This window comes from Homo sapiens, chromosome 9 (genome assembly GCF_000001405.40).
Source record: "Homo sapiens chromosome 9, GRCh38.p14 Primary Assembly".
Taxonomy (NCBI): domain Eukaryota; kingdom Metazoa; phylum Chordata; class Mammalia; order Primates; family Hominidae; genus Homo; species Homo sapiens.
In genome coordinates this window covers 132122463-132142288 of record NC_000009.12, presented here as the reverse complement: position 1 = coordinate 132142288, position 19826 = coordinate 132122463, and the positions used below count along the sequence as shown (strand labels likewise).

At 49.8% G+C, this 19826-nt stretch overlaps 3 annotated features.

Moving 5' to 3' along the window:
• Positions 5224–5737: an enhancer, noted in NCBI's record as "H3K4me1 hESC enhancer chr9:135011939-135012452 (GRCh37/hg19 assembly coordinates)". NCBI's record gives its function as "activates a minimal SCP1, AML or CMV promoter by ChIP-STARR-seq in primed H9 embryonic stem cells {active_cell/tissue: H9 hESC(primed)}" and the evidence as "EXISTENCE:reporter gene assay evidence [ECO:0000049][PMID:30033119]".
• Positions 12039–12539: an enhancer, noted in NCBI's record as "H3K4me1 hESC enhancer chr9:135005137-135005637 (GRCh37/hg19 assembly coordinates)". NCBI's record gives its function as "activates a minimal SCP1, AML or CMV promoter by ChIP-STARR-seq in naive H9 embryonic stem cells {active_cell/tissue: H9 hESC(naive)}" and the evidence as "EXISTENCE:reporter gene assay evidence [ECO:0000049][PMID:30033119]".
• Positions 12540–13040: an enhancer, noted in NCBI's record as "H3K4me1 hESC enhancer chr9:135004636-135005136 (GRCh37/hg19 assembly coordinates)". NCBI's record gives its function as "activates a minimal SCP1, AML or CMV promoter by ChIP-STARR-seq in naive H9 embryonic stem cells {active_cell/tissue: H9 hESC(naive)}" and the evidence as "EXISTENCE:reporter gene assay evidence [ECO:0000049][PMID:30033119]".

Sequence of the window (19826 nt, the reverse complement as noted above, 5' to 3'; positions counted from 1 at the left end):
CAGCCCAAGAACCCCACTCCCAAGACAAATAGACATGTTTGAATGTTCTCTTCCCCTCCTGATCATTTTTAAAGACAATTGAGAGTTGCTTGTAATTAAATAGGGCTAAATAACCGAATTATCCTTCATCGAGCATTTATTGAGCGCCTGCTGTGTGCTGGGCCCCAGCAAGCAAAGTGGACGCGGTCTTTATCCTCACGGAGCCCTCATTAAGGGTTGATGGCACTGCAGAAAGGAGGCCCTTCCTAAGAGGCAGATGGAGAGCAAAGATGCCACAGGGGCAAGAAACAGGTAAAAAGTGCTAGGGAGTGATTTTTGCTCCCACCGGGACAGGCAAAACAATGAGCCCGACTGGGTTCTCTGCACTTCCTTCTCCTACACATCTTCCTCAAAGCACAGAGCCGCTGCTCCGCCATGACCAGCGCCCGCGTCCGGAGCCCTGCACAGGGGTTAATATTTTTAATTGGCGCTTTCCCAGGTTGCGGTTGGCATGTTCCCCAGCTGGAGCTGCCGTGGAGCTGACGGGCTCCTGGGGCGCCTGCCCCTGCGGGCTTCTCACTCTGCCTTCCCTCGTGAATGGTTTCCTTTCAGCTGCCCTATTGAAGCGGTCCCTTCATTCTCTCTGTGTCATCTCTCTGCTGCCATCTTATTAGGGAAAGCTAAGCCCTCTCCCGTGGGGTCAGGCATTGTCCCCTTCTTCCCAGAAACCACCGTGGCGTTCAGCTACAAAATAAAACCGTAAAAAAGGCTCATTCTGCCTGCTACCTGGCTGGGGTGGGAGGGGAAGCACTTTCTGAGCTGCCCGGGCGCAGGCGTCTGGGGAGCGGGTAAACAATGGTGACAGTCCTTAGGCAAGTGAGTGGCAGAAACTCTGGCCCAGTTCCCTCCAGAGGGAATCATTCTGGGGAAGAATTCATGCTTCGGAGAGCTTCAGGGTAAAGGGTGAGCCCACACAGTAGCAAGTACAGAAATAAAGAGTAAGTGGCTGTGCATGGAGAATGTTTAAGGGTCATGAATATTAATAGTGTTGTTCCTCATAGACCTATGAGCAGGGCTCTAATTAATCATTTTTAATGGCAGCTTTGTTCCCATTTTCTTTTATTTTCTTTCTTTCTTTCTTTCTTTATTTTTTGAGACAGAGTTTTGCTCTTGTCACCCAGGCTGGAGTGCAGTGGCGTGATTTCTGCTCACTGCAACCTCTGCCTCCCGGGTTCAAGCAATTCTCCTGCCTCAGCCTCCTGAGTAGCTGGGATTACAGGCATGCACCACCAAACCTGGCTAATTTTTGTAGATTTAGTAGAGACTGGATTTCACCACGTTGGTCAGGCTGGTCTCAAACTCCTGACCTCAGGCGATCCACCCACTTTGGCCTCCCAAAGTGCTGGGATTACAGGCGTGAGCCACCGCTCCCCGGCCTGCTCCCATTTTCATACTGCATTTTGTTTTATCAACAAGTCTCCCAAGGGCCTTTCACCACTGGGGATAATCACTGGAGGTGGCTTCTCCCGTCTATTAAACGAACCTCGCTCCAACCTGCAATCTGATGATCACTCCTGGGTCAGAAAACCTATGAAGCTGCCACAAAGTCCCAGTAATTGCAGAGGTGATGGCCACCTAGGTAATCAACAAGCATTTTAAAGTGCCTCCTGTGCACCCAGGATTGTGCTGAGCTCTGAGGATACAGCTGTGGCTGGCGCAGGCACAGCTGCATCCTCATCAGGGAAGACATTCACAAGCAGTGATCGGCATGTGCAGAGGTCTTGCTTGGGGGTTGTCCAGAGTGTCACGGAGCCCCTCAGGAAAAGGAGCACCAGCCTTGTCCAGGCACAGCAAGGAGGCTTCCTGGAGGAAGTGGCATGAAGCTGAGCCCTAAGGATTGAGTAGGAGTCAACCAGGGGGATGGGAGCACCAGGGCAGAACCAGGAGAGGGGATGGTTTTGAGAGCTGCAAGTCCAGCTGTGATGCAAATCAAGAGTATTTGAGTTGTACACCCGTGTCCTCAGCAGCTTATTCTCAGGAGACAAAAGGTAGAAGCAATCCAAGTGCCCTCCGACAGGGGATGGGTAGACAAAATGTGGTCTATCCAGGCAACGGAATATTATTCTGCCTTAAAGAGAAATGAAGTATTGATCCGTGCTGCAACCAGGATGAACCTTGAAAACATTATGCTAAGTAAAAGCAGCCAGTCACGAAAGGTCATGTATTATATGATCCCATTTATATGAAATATCCAGAATAGGTAAATCCATAGACAGAGAGCAGATTGGTGGTTGCAGGAGGGAGAAGGGAAGTGGGGAGTAACTGCTAATGAATGGATACAGAGTTTTACCTTGGGGTGATGAAGATATTTTGGAACTAGTTAGAGGTTGTGGTGGCACAACTTTGTGAAAGTACTAAATGCCATGGTCACTTTCAAGTGGCTGATTCTTTGTTATGTAAATTTCACCTTAAAGGAAAAAAAAAAAGACAAAAAAGAGTGAGCAAGAAGCCAGGCAAGAAGACACGAGCTGCACGCGGTCTTTAGGCGCCCCCAGCAAGGGGTCCTTCGACACTCTCATGGTCTGGTCACTTGCCCCAGCTTTGCTTTTCCCCTCCCCCACCCTCCCCTCCCCTTTCTTCCCTTTTTTTTTTTTTTAAGATGGAGTTTAGCTTTTGTTCCCCAGGCTAGAGTGCAATGGTGCGATCTTGGCTCACTGCAACCTCCACCTCCCGGGTTCAAGTGATTCTCCTGCCTTAGCCTCCTGAGTAGCTGGGATTACAGGCATGTGCCACCATGCCAGGCTAATTTTGAATTTTTAGTAGAGATGGGGTTTCTCCATGTTGATCAGGCTGGTCTCGAACTCCCGACCTCAGGTTATCCACCCTCCTCAGCCTTCCAAAGTGCTGTGATTACAGGCATGAGCCACTGCACCTAGCCCTTCCCTTCTTTCCTCCCTTCCCCTCCCCTTCTCTTCCTTCTCTTCTTCCCTCCCCTCCTCTCCCCTTCTCTCCCCTCCCCTCCCCTTCCCTCCCCTCCTCTCCCCTTCTCTCCCCTCCCCTCCCCTTCCCTTCCCTTCTTCTTTGATATAGGATCTCACTCTGTCGCCCAGGCTGGAGTGCAGTGGTGCAATCATGGCTCACTGTAGCCTTTATCTCCTTGGGCTCAGGTGATCCTCTCACCTTAGCCTCCCTAGTAGCTAGGACTACAGGTGCATGCCACCCCACTTGGCTCATTCTTTTTTTGTGTGCATATAGGGTTTCACCATGTTGCCCAGGCTGGTCTTGAATTCCTGGCCTTAAAGCAATCTGCCTGCCTTGGCCTCCCAAAGTGCTGGGATTACAGGTATGAGCCACCACAACTGGTCTGCCCCACCATTTCTAATTAAACTCCCAACATCACCCACCAAGAGAAATGCCGTCAAACTCCACAATGACACCAGCCACATTCTCACATCTGCAAGGAATTTTCTAGAAACTGTTGTGATGAATGGCTAGCCATCATATTATTGAGGATCTAATGAGCTAGTGCACAGAAAAGTACTTAAAACAGAGCCTGGTGACGAGTGAAACAGAGTACTGGGCTCTGAGGATACAGGGGTGGCCGGAGCCGACACAGCCCCTCCTTGTCAGAGAAGGCATGCGCAGGCACGTGTAGAGGCCTTGCTTGGGGATGGCCAGCGTGCCATGGGGTGCAATGTCTGATGGAGGGTCAGGCATTTTGTACAGTAACAATAACACGAGTTAGTAATAAGAAGGAGGGAGCACTTCCTTTGTGCCAGCTGCCTGGACCAGACTCATCACCTGTGTTATCCCAGTTAAGCTCCCAGCAGGCTGCCCCACCAATCAGGCACTGTTATCATCCCCAGTTTATGCATAAGGAATTGTGGCTCAGATATGTTAAGTCATTTGCCGAAAATCACACAGCTATGAAGCAGAGTAGCTGGGTGTGAAAATTCAAAGCCCCTCGTCATGCCACTCCATTACTTCCTAAATTACAAACTATTAAAAATGACGGACTCCTTCCCTGGCCCAGCTCTGTCCCCTCTTGCCGTGCTTTGAGATGCTTTCCCTCTGCTTCAAAAGCCTGCACGAGGCCGGGCGCGGTGGCTCACGCCTGTAATCCCGACACTTTGGGAGGCCAAGGCAGGGGGCATCCCTTGAGGTCAAGACTTTGAGACCAGCCTGGCCAACATGGAGAAACCCCATCTCTGCTAAAAAAAAAATACAAAAATTAGCCGGGCTTGGTGGCACGTGCCTGTAATCCCAGCTACTTGGGAGGCTTAGGCAGGAGAATCACTTGAACCCAAAGGCGGAGGTTGCAGTGAGCCAAGATCACGCCACTGCACTCCAGCCTAAGAGACAGAGTGAGACTCTGTCTCAAAACAAAACAAAACAAGACAAAAAAGCCTGCACGGGCCTCTTTTTCACCCTCATTGCTACATCATCAAGCTGTGAGTCAGGGACGAAATGGGTAGGGGCTGCCATGGGGCTTGCAGTCTCTGCCGTGTGTGTTTCTGGCCTGTTCCCGTGTCCTCTTTGGGGATGCGTAAGCCCAGCTTGCCAGTGGTTGTGTTCCTTTCCAGGCTGTAAGGGGCTGTGCTGGCTGCCTTGGAAGCAGCCCTGGGGCCAGTATGAAGTTGAAGATGACATTTCTACCACTGTATTGATGACCCGAGGAGGCGCCTATTAGAAAACGTAAACCGCGGGCAGCAGATACCGTGACTTGGGTATCGATTGGCCATTAAGTGTGTTCCATGTCCCCAGCACAAGCCTGTTCTCCCAGACCAGCCAGGAACAGGCACATTCAGCTTCCTTTAAGTGCCACGAGTGTGTCTCTTTTTTGAAGATTCCCCTCGGGGCTGTCACGGAAGGCGTAATGCAGGGTCCCTGCTCTTCAGAGCTGGTTTCCCAGGACAGGCTGGAGGCCACTGTGGGGTGCTTGCAACAACCAGGCAACTTGTCGGGGCGTGGAACTGCAGCCCCGGTGTCACGGGAAAGGCAGGAACAGCTACAACAGAGGTAGACATTGCAATCGTATAAATAAAAGATGTTGCTGTATGTGAAAACAACTTGACTCACATGACCAGCAACTTCCCCGGCTCCATCTCAGAACCAGCCCTTTTTAATACTGCACTTTTTTGCAACTCATCGGAGGGTAATCAATGGGCTTCAGGCCTCACATTGATCTGAAATATAAATACTAAAAAGATGAGGGCGAGGTGACACTTTTATTGACTTGATTGTAAAGGAAGTCAGAGGAGCTAAGGCAGGCAGCCAACACAATGGCACAAAGTTGCCATGAATTTGAATTCCATAGCAACAGACCAGCCTGAAAACTGCCATTTCCCGAAGTCGAGGAAATCCAGAACTTTCACAGGTGACATTTTTGGGGGTTCTTTGGCAACAACAGGGAGAGAGAGGCTAGGGCACGGCCACCCACACCTGAGGGCCACACTTGCTTGGACCCATGAGGGAGGAAGGAGGGGCTCAGCTGGGCTCAGGAGAGGGCTCCAGGACCTGACCCCAGCGTGGGGGTCACCAAGTAGCCCGCAGCTCCTGGGACAGGTGCTCGGCAGTTGGCCATCCTTTGTGACAGGCAGTGGCTCAGCTCTCAGCCCCCAGCTAGCACTGTGGCTTGCTTGTCCCCTCGTTCCCCCTTAGAGGAGCGCCGCTCTCAGCTCTTCCACTCTCTGGTGTTGTTCAGCTGAGGGAAGGAGGCCTGAAGCAGCGATGGCCCAGAATAATGGGGGCTGGAGGAGGGGCGGCCGGCAGCGAGCACGCAAGAATCCCATTAAGGAACAAAGCTGATCAATACTCACAGCAGCCAGGCAGGTTTAAAAGCCTCTCCATGCAGCCTGCTCCCTGTCAAGGCAGGAGGAGAGGCAGGAGAGCTATCTGGACCCTTCCCTCAGAAGCACCCACTTGGGCAGGGGAGGGAGCCGCAGCCCGCAGGGTGTGCTGCCGGAGCAGGGTTGGTGGACCCCAGGGGATCTGGGGACTCCAGCCGGTCCATGGGAGCCCATCCTAGGCACTTCACAGTCCTGCGCCAGAGGGGCCTTGACATCAGGGTCCTCCCTCCTGCTTTACAGTTGGGGATACTGAGACGTAACAAGGGAAAGGACTTTCCTGAGGTCATGTGGCTGGAAGTTTCCAGGCCTCTGCCTCCAGGTGTAGGTGACTTTCCACTTTAAGGTCTATGAACATGACCATCCCTCTCTCTTTTTACTATGGATGATACCAGTGATCTTAAAACCTACAATGGGCTGGGTGCGGTGGCTCACGCCTATAATCCCAGCACTTTGGGAGGCCAAGGCGGGCAGATCACTTGAGCTCAGGAGTTCGAGACCAGCCTGGCCAACATGGTGAAACCCAGTCTGTACTAAAAATACAAAAACTAGCTGGGTGTGGTGGTGGGTGCCTGTAACCCCAGCTACTCAGGATGCTGACATGGGGGAATTGCTTGAACCTGGGAGGCGGAGGTTGCAGTCAGCCGAGATTGTGCCACTACACTCCAGCCTGGGCAACAAAGCAAGAGGGTCTCAGAAAAAAAAAAAAAATTCTACAACAAATTGATGAAGACCTGCTTGAATTGGCTGTGTGCTCAGGCTGGGCCGAGATCGTGCCACTGGACTCCAGCATGGGCAACAGACAAAGACAGGCTCTGTCTCAAAAAAAAAAAAAAAAAAATCAGCTTTGTTGGCGACAAACAGATACCACAAGCCTTGGTGAGAACAGTATGATGTCATAAGCTCCAAACAAAAGTCTACAAGGATCTGGCTAAGGGGGCCATTCTGGCTCCCTCTCAAACCTGTCCCAAAGTTGAAGTGGCATGTTGGTAAAAGGTTTTTTGTTGTTGTTTTTGTTTTCTGAGACAGGGTCTTGCTCCATCACCTAGGCTGGAATGCAGTGGCATGATTTCAGCTCACCGCAACCTCTGCATCCTGGGTTCAAGCAATTCTTGTGCCTTAGCCTCCCAAGTAGCTGAGATTATAGGTATGCACCACCACACCCAGTGAATTTTTTGTAGCGACAGGGTTTTGCCATGTTACCCAGGCTGGTCTTGAACTCTTGGGCTTAAGTGATCTGCCCCCACCTCGGCCTCCTAAAATGCTGGGATTATAGGCATGAACCATGATGCCCAGCTGTAATTTAATTTTTAATAATGGTTGTGTTTAATGATTATATTAGTCTAGATTCTCCAGAGAGACAGAACCAATAGGGTATATACAGAGATCTGAGAGGGGGTTATTCAGGAAAACTGGTGCACGTGATTATGGAGGCTGAGAAGTCCCATGATATGCCATCTGCAAGCTAGAGACCCAGGGAGGCTGGGCTCAGTCCAAGTCTGAAAGCCTCAGAACCAGAGAAGCCAATGGTGTAACTCTTAGTTCAAGGACAAAGTCTTGAGAACCCAGGGGGGCTGCTGGTGCAAGTCTTAGAGTCCAAAGGCCAGAGAACCTGGAGTTTGATGTCCAAGGACAAGAGAAGAAGGGTGTCCCAGCTCCAGAAGAGAGAATGAATTCAGCTTTATTCTGCCTTTTTGTTCTACCTGGGCTTTCGGCTGATTGGATGGTGCCCACCCACATTGGATGAAGATGGGTCTCCCTTACTCAGTCCATGGCTTCAAATGCCAGTCTCTTCTGGAAACACCCTCACAGGCATATCCAGCAACAGTGCTTTACCAGCTATCTGGGTATCCCTTAATCCAGTCAAAACACCTAAACACCTAAAATTAGCCATCACAATAATCATCTCACCAAATTCTTTAAAATGTAACGATTGGCTCTCTCAAGCCACTATGACCTGGCTTCAGTACAGTGCTGACCCAACCCTCAGCTATGACCTAGCTTCAGTACAGTGCCAACTCAACCCTCAGCTATGACCTAGCTTCAGTACAGTGCCGATCCAACCCTCAGCTATGACCTAGCTTCAGTACAGTGCCGACCCAACCCTCAGCTATGACCTAGCTTCAGTACAGTGCCAACTCAACCCTCAGCTATGACCTAGCTTCAGTACAGTGCCGACTCAACCCTCAGCTATGACCTAGCTTCAGTGCAGTGCCGACCCAACCCTTAGCCACTGAAACTGGGGAGTCAAGTCTTTCCTTTCAGAGGAAGAGCTCAGGTTATAGGCATCAATGGCCCTGGAAAGAAAAACACGCTGATTCCCCCAAAGTAGACTTGAATGATAAGGGTACAACAAGAGCAGAATGCCTTGGGAAAGGAGGGGCTGGTGTGTTAGTGGGAGGGAAGAGGCAGCTCTGGAGATAAAAATTCTCTTCTTCCCAATCCCATCTCCAATTAGAGTACCCGTGGACAATTTGGAACTAAAATATCTGCCAACAGACCACTGATTTTCCTGCCAAATTTCCACCCGAAACTACCAATGTTATCCTTGACCCATGCTATTAAGGCTGCATAACAAACTGCCCCATGGCCTAGTGCCTTAAACAGCATCGGAGTCTTATTGCTGTCTCTCACAGGGTGGAGGCTAACTGGGCTCAGCCGGGAGGTTCTTGCTTTGGGTTGAGAAGGATCTTCCTGGAGCTTAAGCATCTCACAAAGGTCTTGCAGTCTTTACAGCCAGCCTAGCCTGGACAGCACCAAACACAGCCCTTCTCAAGACCACCTGAGAGCTGGTGATGGTGGGAACCCCTGCATTTTTGCTGCGAGACACTTCCAAGTTGCTGAACCCAAGAGCTTCACTTGGCATTTGACCATCTTTCTGTTCACTCCCTTTGGTGTCTGACACTACATTCCTAGACACTACCAGCCTTGCTGGCCACTCCCTCCCTCTCCCCTCCTTATGACACCTTGGGAGCCTTTCTGCTGCGTCCTGGCCCTGTTCCCCGCTCTGGTTCTATGCCCAACCCTTTTCTCCCTTAACCCCATCTCAGGGACTCCCCGAGTCTATGCTTGACCTTCAGAACTGTTCCCAGCCCAACCCCTCCCTTGGCGTAAGCTTCCAGCTGGGCCCTTCCATCTGGCCCCGAATGCAGCCACTAGCCTTCCCCCTATCCTCAACCTCATCTCCTCACTTCTTTTGTCAGCTCTGTTAATTCTCCATCACTGAAGGCCCCAAGCTTAGACCTGATTCAGTCTGATTTGGTGGCTCCTGACCTTCCTCTAGCACCTCCAGAAGGAACTTGGCTTTGCTGACACCTTAATTTTAGTTCACAGAGACTGATCTTGGACTTGTGACCTTCAGAACTGTAAGACAATAAATGTGTGTTGATTTTTTTGTTTTGTTTTGTTTTGAGATGGAGTCTTGCTCTATCACCCAGGCTGGAGTGCAGTGGTGCAATCACTGCAACCTCCGCCTCCTGGGTTCAAATGATTCTCGTGACTCAGTTTCCCAAGTAACTGGGATTACAGGCAAGCCCCACCACGCTCGGCTAATTTTTGTATTTTTAGTAGAGACAGGGTTTCACCATGTTGGCCAGGCTGATCTCGAACTGCTGACCTCAGGTGTTCCACCCGCCTCGGCCTCCCAAAGTGCTGGGATTACAGGCGTGAGCCACCGCACCTGGCCAATGTGTGTTGTTTCAAGCCACTAAGTGTATGGGGTAGTTTGCTACCCCATAACAAACTATAGTGGCAACAGGAAACGAATACACAGGCGCAGAGTAGATGCTCCGTAGGAGCTGGTTTCCATCTCTTGCTCCTGGAATGATCCACTTGAAGCTCCACCTGATTCTTGTCACTTCCAGTCTGGGCTCACCCATCCCCGTCCCTCACCCCTCCATTGGCTTCAGAAACAAAAGGAAACCCTGCAGCCTGGGGCCCTCATCTGCCCCTCTACCTTGTCTCATGGGCGGAGGCTTTGCTTAAGCACATAGCCCTGTGGCGCCCACCCTGCTTCCTGCACACTTGCCTCTGCTGTTCCCTGTGCTGTTCCCTTCACTCCACATCCCCTCCCTCCTCTCCACGTGCCCCCATTCTACGGGGGTCATGTGCCATGGCCTCCAGAAAGCCCTCCCTGCCCCTCCTGAAACTGGGACTCTGAAGGGCTCTATGTGTCCCTTTCTTATGACTTATCGCCACCAGCCCAGGTGGAGCTGTTTCCATCCCTGCCTCACCTGCCAGGTGCAAGCCCCTCCGTGGCAGGACCACCTTTTGTTCATGTCTGAATTTCTCATGGAGCAAACTCGGAGTACAGAGGGAGCGTTCAGTAAACACTCGTGGAATTGGACTGAAAGGGTGGAGGTGCCGGGAGTTACTCAGGGCAGTGTCCACAGTCGTGGCCAGTCACTGTCCAGCCCAGTCACTCATCTTCCCAGGAAGGAACAGAGCCAGGAGGCTGGAGAGAGGCCACTGCCAGCACCGAGCCATATAAATACTTTATAATGCCAAATTTACACAAATCAGCGAAATCCAGTCTAAAGAGAGGAGATGGAGTCCATTTGTCAAGGGAAAGGAGATCTGCTAAGTGCAAGACAGAACATTCTAGAAGGGCCTCGGGAGCTCCGGATATGATATTCCCGTGCAGAAATTAACCAGACATCTGAGCAAACAGAAAAACAAAAGGGATGTCAGCTGTCCAGGAAGACAGCTCTGGTTGTTCCATGCAGCCCAGCTCTGCTCAGGAACTTGAAGCCAGAAGGCACCCAGAGGAATCTCCTTAACGTTCATGCTACGTTTACCACCACTGCTGTTGCTACTATTACTGTTTCTACTATTACCAACAAAAACAACCACTAAGGAGAGAATCCAGGAATGTCGTGTGCACCAGTGAGACCTCCTTTCCTCTGCCGTCCCCTCACCATCTGTAGGGGAGAAAGAAGCCAGTGTGAGCCTGAGGAAAGCCCCACCCTTCCCCCACCAATGCTCCCCACCACTGCCCACCATGAGACGGTCAGCTCGTCTTGTCCTGCCTTTATCCCTGTTCGAATCGGCTGTTTCAGCAGCTCAGGGAAGCAGGGAAGCACCCCTCGATCCTGGGCCGTAACCCCAAATGGCTCTGCGGGTCAGGGAGTGGAGCAACCCAAACCCACCCCCTACCCTGCTCCCCATCCCTTCTCCTGCTGAACTTTCCTTCCACTGTGCTGAACGTCTAACGGACCTTACATCTCACTTATTGCATTTGTTTTCTGTCTCCCTCAGTTAGGATGTTCCTGAGGGGTTTTTGTCTGTGTTCTTGCCGGCTGTGTCCCAGTGCCTGGGACTGTGCACATCGTAAGAGCTCAGTAAATATTGGCAGATGAAAGAGAGAGAAGGGTGAACGGCCATTTATTGAAGCATGTGCTGGACACTGCACTGCATCTCATTCACCTTTTGCGTGATCCCCACAGTAAGCCCACATATCCCCCACTTTCCAGACGAGGAAATGGAGACTCAGAGAGGTGAAGAAGCTCATCTGCGGCCACCAGCTGTGGAGGATTTAATCCTTCTGGCAGGATTAAAATCCAGGCCTGAGCAATTGCACTCTCCAGTGAGGTGGGGCTGGCCTCACTCTACAGCTGAGGCCATGGGTGCCAGAAATGTGCACCTTGATGTCCAAAGGCAGATTGAAAATACTCAGAGCAGGGGAAGGATGGGGCTGGGACTTCCCAGGTACCCTCTGGGAAGAGGGCGGGGTGAGGCACAGAGAGGGTGGCAGAGCAGGGAGCAAGGCTTCTTTCCCGCAGCTCACGGTATCGCACAGCAGGCCAGATCAGTATTATTCTGCTGCAAGAAAGGACCAGGGACTGGGTGGCTTAAACAACAGAGATGTATTGCCTCATGGTTCTGGAAGATGGAAGCCAGAGATGAAGGTGTGGGCAGGGCTGGTTTCTCCTGAGGCCTCTCTCCTTGGCTGATAGACGGTATCTTCTCCCTGCGTCGTCACAGGATCTGTGTGTCCCACTCTCTTCTACTTTTTTTTTTAATGGAGTCTCACTCGTCACCCAGGCTGGAGTGCAGTGGTGTGATCTCAGCTCACTACAACCTCTGCCTCCCAGGTTCAAGTGATTTTCCCGCCTCAGCCTCCTGAGTAGCTGGGATTACAGGCACAAGGCACCACGCCTGGCTAATGTTTGTATTTGTAGTAGAGACAGGGTATCACCATGGTGGTCAGGCTGGTCTCGAACTACTGACCTCAGGTGATCCACCCACCCGGGCCTCCCAAAGTGCTGGGATTACAGGCGTGAGCCACTGTGCCCGGCCCCACTCTCCTCTACTTTTAAGGACACCAGTTATATCGGATTAGGGCCCACCCTAATGACCTCATTTTAACTTAATTCCCCTTTTAACGTCCCTCTCCCCAGACATAGTCATATTTTGAGTACTGAGACCTAGGACTCCAACAGATGATTTCAGCCCCTATCAGGACCAAGGGACTCCTTCTGCTCTTTGACATCACTAGCAGGCTCTGAGGCCCCGAGGTAGGGGTGGCTGCAGAAGGGGAGTGTCCTTGCCCAGGTGCAGGACAGGGCTGTCCCCCTGGGCAGGCTGTGTCAGGCTTCTTGGAAGTGACCAGTGCTTGCAGGTACACCCTGTTCACGCCACGCCGAGTCAAAGGCCCCTGTCCTCATGCCCGTCTCCCCCACGTGATGGTCCCCAGCAGGATGCTGAGCGTGTTTGAACAGATACGCAGTCACGTCCTGACATCCACTTTACCTAGTGTGAGATCTCCAGGCGGGAACTGCATTTTGCACTGTCACGGTGCCTGTCATGCAGGCACCAGGCGGCACACTCACTTTTTTCTGGTTGAGGCCCTTTGAGGACCCGCCTCCAGCCTGTGAAGTGTGCCTAGACACCTGGTCTACCAGGAGCACTACAGCAGACACCTTCAGTGAGCCTGCAGCCCACCCGCCTTCCTTCCCACCCACCTCTCTGACCTCCCTCCAGCTCTAGCCACAGCAGTGGACTCTGTGACTTCCCAGAAAAGGGTCGACCACAGCTAAGTCACACTGAGGTCGCAGGCAGAGTAAGCCATGCTCTAATTAGCACCACTGCATCACACGTTGGATACTGATGTTTTGCAGCTTTAAAAAGGAAGGACGTTGTGACAGGCTACAACGTAAATGAACCCGAAGGACATTATGCTAAGTGAAGTAAGCCAGTCACAAAAGGACAAAGACCGTATGACTCCACATATATGCAGTACCTAGAATAGTCAAATTCATAGAAACAAAAAGTAGAACAGTGGTTGTCAGGGGCTGGAGGGAGAGGGGAATGTGGAGTTATTGTTTCATGGGTACTGAGTTCCGGTTTTACAAGATGAAAAGAGTTCTGGAGGCCGGGCACAGTGGCTCACGCCTGTAATCCCAGCACTTTGGGAGGCCGAGGCAGGTGCATCACCTGAAGTCAGGAGTTCGAGACCAGCCTGGCCAACGTGGTGAAACCCGGTCTCTACCACAAATACAAAAATTAGCTGGACATGGTGGCGGTTGCCTGTAATCCCAGATATTCGTGAGGCTGAGGCACAAGAATCACTTGAACCCAGGAGGTGGAGGTCGTGGTGAGCCAAGATCGCGCCACTGCACTCCAGCCTGGGTGACAGAGTGAGATGCTGTCTCAAAAAAAAAAAAAAAAAAAAGAGTTCTGGAGATGTAACTCAACATTACAATATATTTAATATCACTTAACTGTACACTTAAAATGGAAAATATATATATATATGTGATTTTATCACAGTAAAAAAGAGTTAAAAAGAAGGGTGGAATAAGGTTATACATACAGAAAATGCCACATGCACCCCGTTTGTTTGTGTTTATTTGTGTATGGAACCTGGAAGGCTAAATCAGAAGGTAATAGCATGCTTCCCGGTAGTGGAGGATGGAGGGTGGAAGCCGGCCTTTGCAGTGAACACCTTCCTATCTAGTCTGATTTCTGAACCATGTAATTACTGCTGTTAAAAGATCAGGCAGGAGGGCAGAGAAGGGAGGAGGGCGGGTTTTGGTGTCAGACTCCTGGGCTGAGTGACATGGTGGCCATGATCTCTGGTGGAGGGACCTCCCCTTGCTAGGCCTCCACTCCTTCTGAGGCTGAGGCAGACCCCACCCCCTTTGGGGTTGCTGGAAGGTGAGTGAGTGTCTAAGGACGTTTCCCACAGTGGCACAAATGGGAACCCACTCTGCCTTCTGAGCCTGAAGCTTTTGCTCTATTTGGGAGGGAGCTGGGTCTGGGGGACTCGAGGCCAGTTGGCAGTCAGAGATCCAGTATGTGACATTGTTAAACGTGTCCGTTACGTACGTTTAGTAGTACTTTCCCCATTTACCAGAACTCTCCCCAGACTTTTCTCATTTGTTTTTGAAGTAACCTAAATATCCCCATGTGCAAGCAGAGGCCCCGAGAGGGAAACTGTGCTTCCCTCTGGCTCTCCAGCCTCGGCTTCCCCCGCCCCACCCGGCCTCGGCTCACATCAGCCCCCGAGAGATGCGTGGGCAGTGAGTGTCTCCTGGGGGCTAGCATGAGATGAGCACCATGGGAACTCGAATGAAAAGTGCTCCCTGCTTGTGGAGAGCTGCTCTCCCCGCTGACCGTAGACCCTTCACCCCAAACTCACTTTCAGATGTACTGCTCTATCCACATACCACCCAGACTCATTTCTTTTTTCTTTTTTGAGTTGGAGTCTTGCTCTGTCACCCAGGCTGGAGTGCTGTGGCAGGATCTTGGCTCACTGCAACCTCTACCTCCTGGGTTCAAGCGATTCTCCCATCTCAGCCTCCCGAGTAGCTGGGCTTACAGGCATGCACCACCATGCCTGGCTAACACTTTTTGTATTTTTAGTAGAGACGGGGTTTCACCACGTTGGCCAGGCTGGTCTCGAACTCCTGATCTCTGGTGATCCACCCGCCTTGGCCTCCCAAAGTGCTGGGATTGTAGGTGTGAGCGACCGCACCCACCCTAACTCTTATTTCTTAATAGTTTTATTTGGAATTATCTAATGTTTAACTTAAACATTAACTTAAACATGTGTTTTAAAAGGAAACTTTATATCACCTCGTTAAATGGAAAATCAGTACAACTTGCTACAAACATAAGGTAACTATAAAAATAAATATAATGAAAACCAAATAATGCTGTCAATTTCTAGAGCTGTGTTCCCACTAGAGGCTGGGAGCCTGAGGACAGCTCTCCTTGTTAAGGAAGAAGATTCGTAAGTACTAGGGAGGCGTTAGAGACCCGGAGCACCTGAAATTTCCCTTTAAGCAATGTGAAAATTGAAAGAGAATTGGAAAAGGGAGTCATTCTCATGAGGTGATTTAATGTTATTCAACACCATGCCTGATTCCAGTAAAGCCCTTCCACTAACCACCAGGGCCATGCGACCCACGTGTTGGCAGACAGCAAAATAATCCATAAGGACACTCCACTGGGAGTCCCTATGCCAGATTTCAAAAATCTGAATCACCAGGTTTGCGACACTATCCATCCCCCTTTCGCCCTTGATCCCTGGAGGGTCTAACTGACTGCAAGGTCTGAGCCACAGTCTTCCCCTCGGGGTCCCAGGACAGCCAGGGGCAGAGGACACGCCCGCCTGTGTTTCCTCACTCAGAGATTCCCATTTGGCCAGCGTTGTCTCTATTATTACAAATCTGCCTCCCCTGCAACTACCAGAAGCTTCTGACGCTCCATCAGTGAGGGCTGACAAATCAGTAGCATTAATATTTTGATAACTTGAGGTCCCGAAGCCACTCACCAGCAGAGACAACCCCACCTGGGGCTAAATTATTAAAATCACGATGTGATTGGCGCAGCTAGAATGAGTCCTCGGTGAGCTTGCTTCGGGAGGCCGTGGGCCAGGTTGGCAGTCACTGATTTTATTCTTCGTGAAGACCGCAGCTCTATTGCTGCTTTCGATTTTACATTTCCTAAGAGGGGGTCACAGGCAGGGGGTGGAGGAAATCCCCACGTTAAAAAAGAAACTCAAGTCAGCACTGGAAAAGATGAGAACAAGAACGGGGGAGGGGGCGTTAATGACTAGCGCAGTTTATTTTGGGGGTTCGTGCATAGAAGGGTGGAATAAGAGGCTTGCTTATTGAAAATAAGTGATCGATTGCTGGAAATCGTAGTCGTAAAGAGAGCTCTGTCTTTGAAGGACTCAGAGATTGTTTTCTTTCCCTCTTGCTTTCCCTGCCAGGACTTGGAGAGCTCTGTTGGCTGACAGGTGAGTTTGGAGTTGAGACAGGGCCTTGTGCAAGCAGTGACGTTGCCCTCCTGCATCCAAACAGGAAGGCCTTCCTTCCGAGGGTGGCACATGGAGTCATTTCTGGATGTAGATGGGCTTTTTCCCCCTCAGGAAACCAAACACCAACTTTCCTGATAAGGGATCTTTGTGGTCAGCGGGGTGAGGGTTCTGGAAGGAAGTAGGGGTGACCGCCCTAAATAATGGGTTTCTAATGGACTCAGGAAAGCTCTGTTGTATCTCTGGAAACCAAACCATCAGCTGCAGATTAGCCATGGAGAAGAGAACACAGGAGGGGCTGAGAGTCTGCTCATAACCAAGGGAGGTGGGAGATGCAGCCCCTGATGCAGAAACAGCTGCTGCACCAACCTCGTTTCAACACGAAGCCGAAATGCCCAAGCACTGAAGATGGTTGGGAGTTTGGGAAGACTTGATAAAAATGAAGAATTAAGCAGTTATGAGCCCTGATCAATACTGAGATGACGCCAATAACAGCTTGTGTTTATTTCGCCATTCTCTTGGGAGAGGCTCAGATCCTTATGTGAGCTTTAAACTTTCTGGTGGAAATCCCTTGTGGAGGGGCTGGAGGGGCCTGAAGGTGCAGGCTGAGGTCCTTCTCCTGTCGCATGACAAAGGGAGCACCTGCTGACTATGAATGCAAGCGGTTCAGGTTTTCCAGGAGGTGCGGGGAGGCAGGAGGCGGGCTGAGAGGGGCTGAGGCCCTCCCCTCACCTGGATCCCTTCTGGTAAACAAATGCACCATCAGCACATCAGGGCAGTGAGCATCCGACAGCCCTGGAGGAATTGTATAACCTACTTAGTATTTGGGGAAAATTATAAAGGATAAAGCTGAGACCGGAAATGCAAAATGATCTGAATGTGGTACAAATACTTCAGAAAAAAACAGAAGAGCTGTTCTCAAATTCACTCACCTGCACTTGGAATGCTCACCATGGGGCCACCTCCCTACAGGGCTCACGGATTCACCTACTCCCGTTTTTTCACTTATGTCGAATGTTTTATTTTCCCCCAATCAGCCTGTTAGGAGAGCCAATCAATGTGATAGATTTCCCCAGTGCAATGACCTGCCATCAGGCAGAATGAACAGGCTGTCTGTCTGGAGTGTTACAGGTGGAGCTTAGCCCCACCATGCACACAACAGAAACCCTCCCCCATTGAGCTCCAGCCACGTGCCAGACACTGGGTGGCCTGCCCCGTTCCCACATTATTGGCTTCGTGCACACAACCTGGAGGTAAGAATTATCATCCCAGGTCACTGAGACGGGGACTCGGGCTCAGAAAGTTAAAACCATTGCTCAAAACAGAGACAACATTCCCATCCAGAACTTGGCTTTGCCTCCCTCTCCACCTCAGTGAGCCATCAAGTCTTAGACAAAAGAGTAGAAGGGGGTAGGGTCATGTTCTAGTCCAACAAACTTCCATCATCTTTTGCTCGTTATCTTTGAGATAGTGTCTCACCCTGTTGTCCAGGAGGGTGTACAGTGGTGTGTGATCATGGCTCACAGCAGCCTTGTCCTCCCAGGCTCAATCGATCCTCCCACTTCAGCCTCCCAAGTAGCTGGAACCACAGGTGCACACCACCACGACTGGTTAATTTTTGTAGAGATGGAGTTTCGCCATGTTAGCCAGGCTGGTCTCAATCTCCAGGGCTCAAGTGATCAGTCCACCTTGGCCTCCCATGTGCTGGGATTACAGGCATGGGCCACATGGGATTACACCCATGTGCCTAGCCATCTTTTGCTCTTAACCATCATCTACCTTTAGCCTCCTAAACATCTCTAACTCTAGCTGGAATTTCTTGTGTCTATGGCCCTTTATTTTGTTTCGTTTTGTTTTTGCCCTTCCTTCCTTCCTACCTTCCTTCCTTCCTTCCTTTCTTCCTTCCTTCCTTCCAGACAGGATCTCACTCTGTTACCCAGGCTGGAGTGCAGTGGCGCAATCATAGCTTACTTCAGTTTTGACCTCCTGGGCTCAAGCAATCCTTTCACCTCAGCCTCCCAAAGTGCTGGGATTACAGGCTTGAGCCACTGTGCCCAGCCATTCTTTCTTTTTTTCTTTCCTTTTCTTTCCTTTCTCTTCCTTTCCTTCCCTTTTTCTCTCTTTCTAATTTCAGGGCTCTTCCCAGGTGTAGCACATTTTGGGCAATAGAGTTTTGCTATAGATTTGTATGAATAGATTTTTTAATTGTTGCTAAGTTGAATAACTTTTTTTTTAATCTGCATGGGAAGGATTTGGTATAGAAAAGAATCCCAAAGTGGGTTCTTCTACAAAGTGAAGAGAATGTACATCTATCACGTTATTGCTGAGGAGGATTTTGTGTCTGGGGCAAAGATAGGGAAAGGGGTGGAGGCTGGGTTTGTGTGAAGAAATTCTAGGCTTCCTTCCAACTAGAAGGGTCCATGTTTCAAATGTTTTGGCACGCATAGTTTATATTACTTTATCTCCTGGTTTATCTTTCTATGTTTATATTTCATATAACAAGTGTCCTTTAAAATGAACTACACTTAGAATTCTACAGGACAAATGACTTAGTGTCTTCAATAAATAAATGGCATTTTAGAAAGGATATTTTACAAGTTAAGAGACTTAACAGGCAGGTCCACCAGATGCCTCAAATAAGGACTAGAATGTGTGGTCCTCATTTGGGTCCTGATTCAAATGAACCAACTGTAAAAAGACATTTTTCAGACAATCAGGGGAAAAGTTGAACAAGAACCAGTTAATAGATTGTATGTCATAAGGAGTTATCCTTAATAATGTTAGATGTATTAGTTGCATTGTGGTTATGTTAGAAAAAAAAGCCTATCTGTTAGAGTTGCTTTCTGAAGTATTACTGGTGCAGTGATATGATGCCTGGGATTTTCTTTAAAGTGTTCCAAGAAAAAAAGAGAGAGAGAGAGAAAGGGGGGTGGGGAGATGAAATAAAAATGGCAAAGTGTTGCAACTGTTCGAACTGGATAATGGGTGCACAGGGACTCATTCCATTTCGTGTATGTTTGAAACGTTCCATAATAAAAAGTTAAAGTTTTAAAATGCATGCCATGCTTAAACATTTTAAACTGTAGCCTGTACCTGATTAAATGTTGCTTTCCTCAGAATCTTGCTTTGCTCACTTCCTTGTGTGTGGAGGGTCTGTGTGTGGGAATGTTCTTTCTACTCAGTCAGACATAAGATTCTTGAGGACAAGGGCCCCTTTTTCCATTTTGGCATCTCTTCCAGCACAGGTGGAAGCCTGAATCTAGTAGGTATTTAGTACATGTTCTTGGCCAGGCCAGCAAGGAATGCAGAGATATTCAAGGAAACTCAGAGGGCACCCTGAAGACTGCGGGCTCTCCAGCAATGTAAGTTTCTACTGAAAGCAAGCAGGTCACCTAAGCTCATTCATTCATCTGCTGGGACTACACATGCAGGGGTACCATGGATAGCTATAAGATTTTTATTAAAACATTGGTTATAATATATTATGAAACTTTCCTCATGAAATAAATTCAAACTGGAATGGAAAAGAACTTACTTTGCAGATGAAATGGTGCACACACCCAAACCCAAGAAAAATGACACAGCACGGCCTCCCTGAAGGTGTGTGGAAACCGGTGTTTGTTCTGCTCTTATTTAACATCCTTAATAATGATCTGGAAGATGAGTCAACAGCACGCTAATGAAATTTGCATAAGATCCTTAATTGGGAGGTGTTGCTATCACCAAGAAGGGCAGAG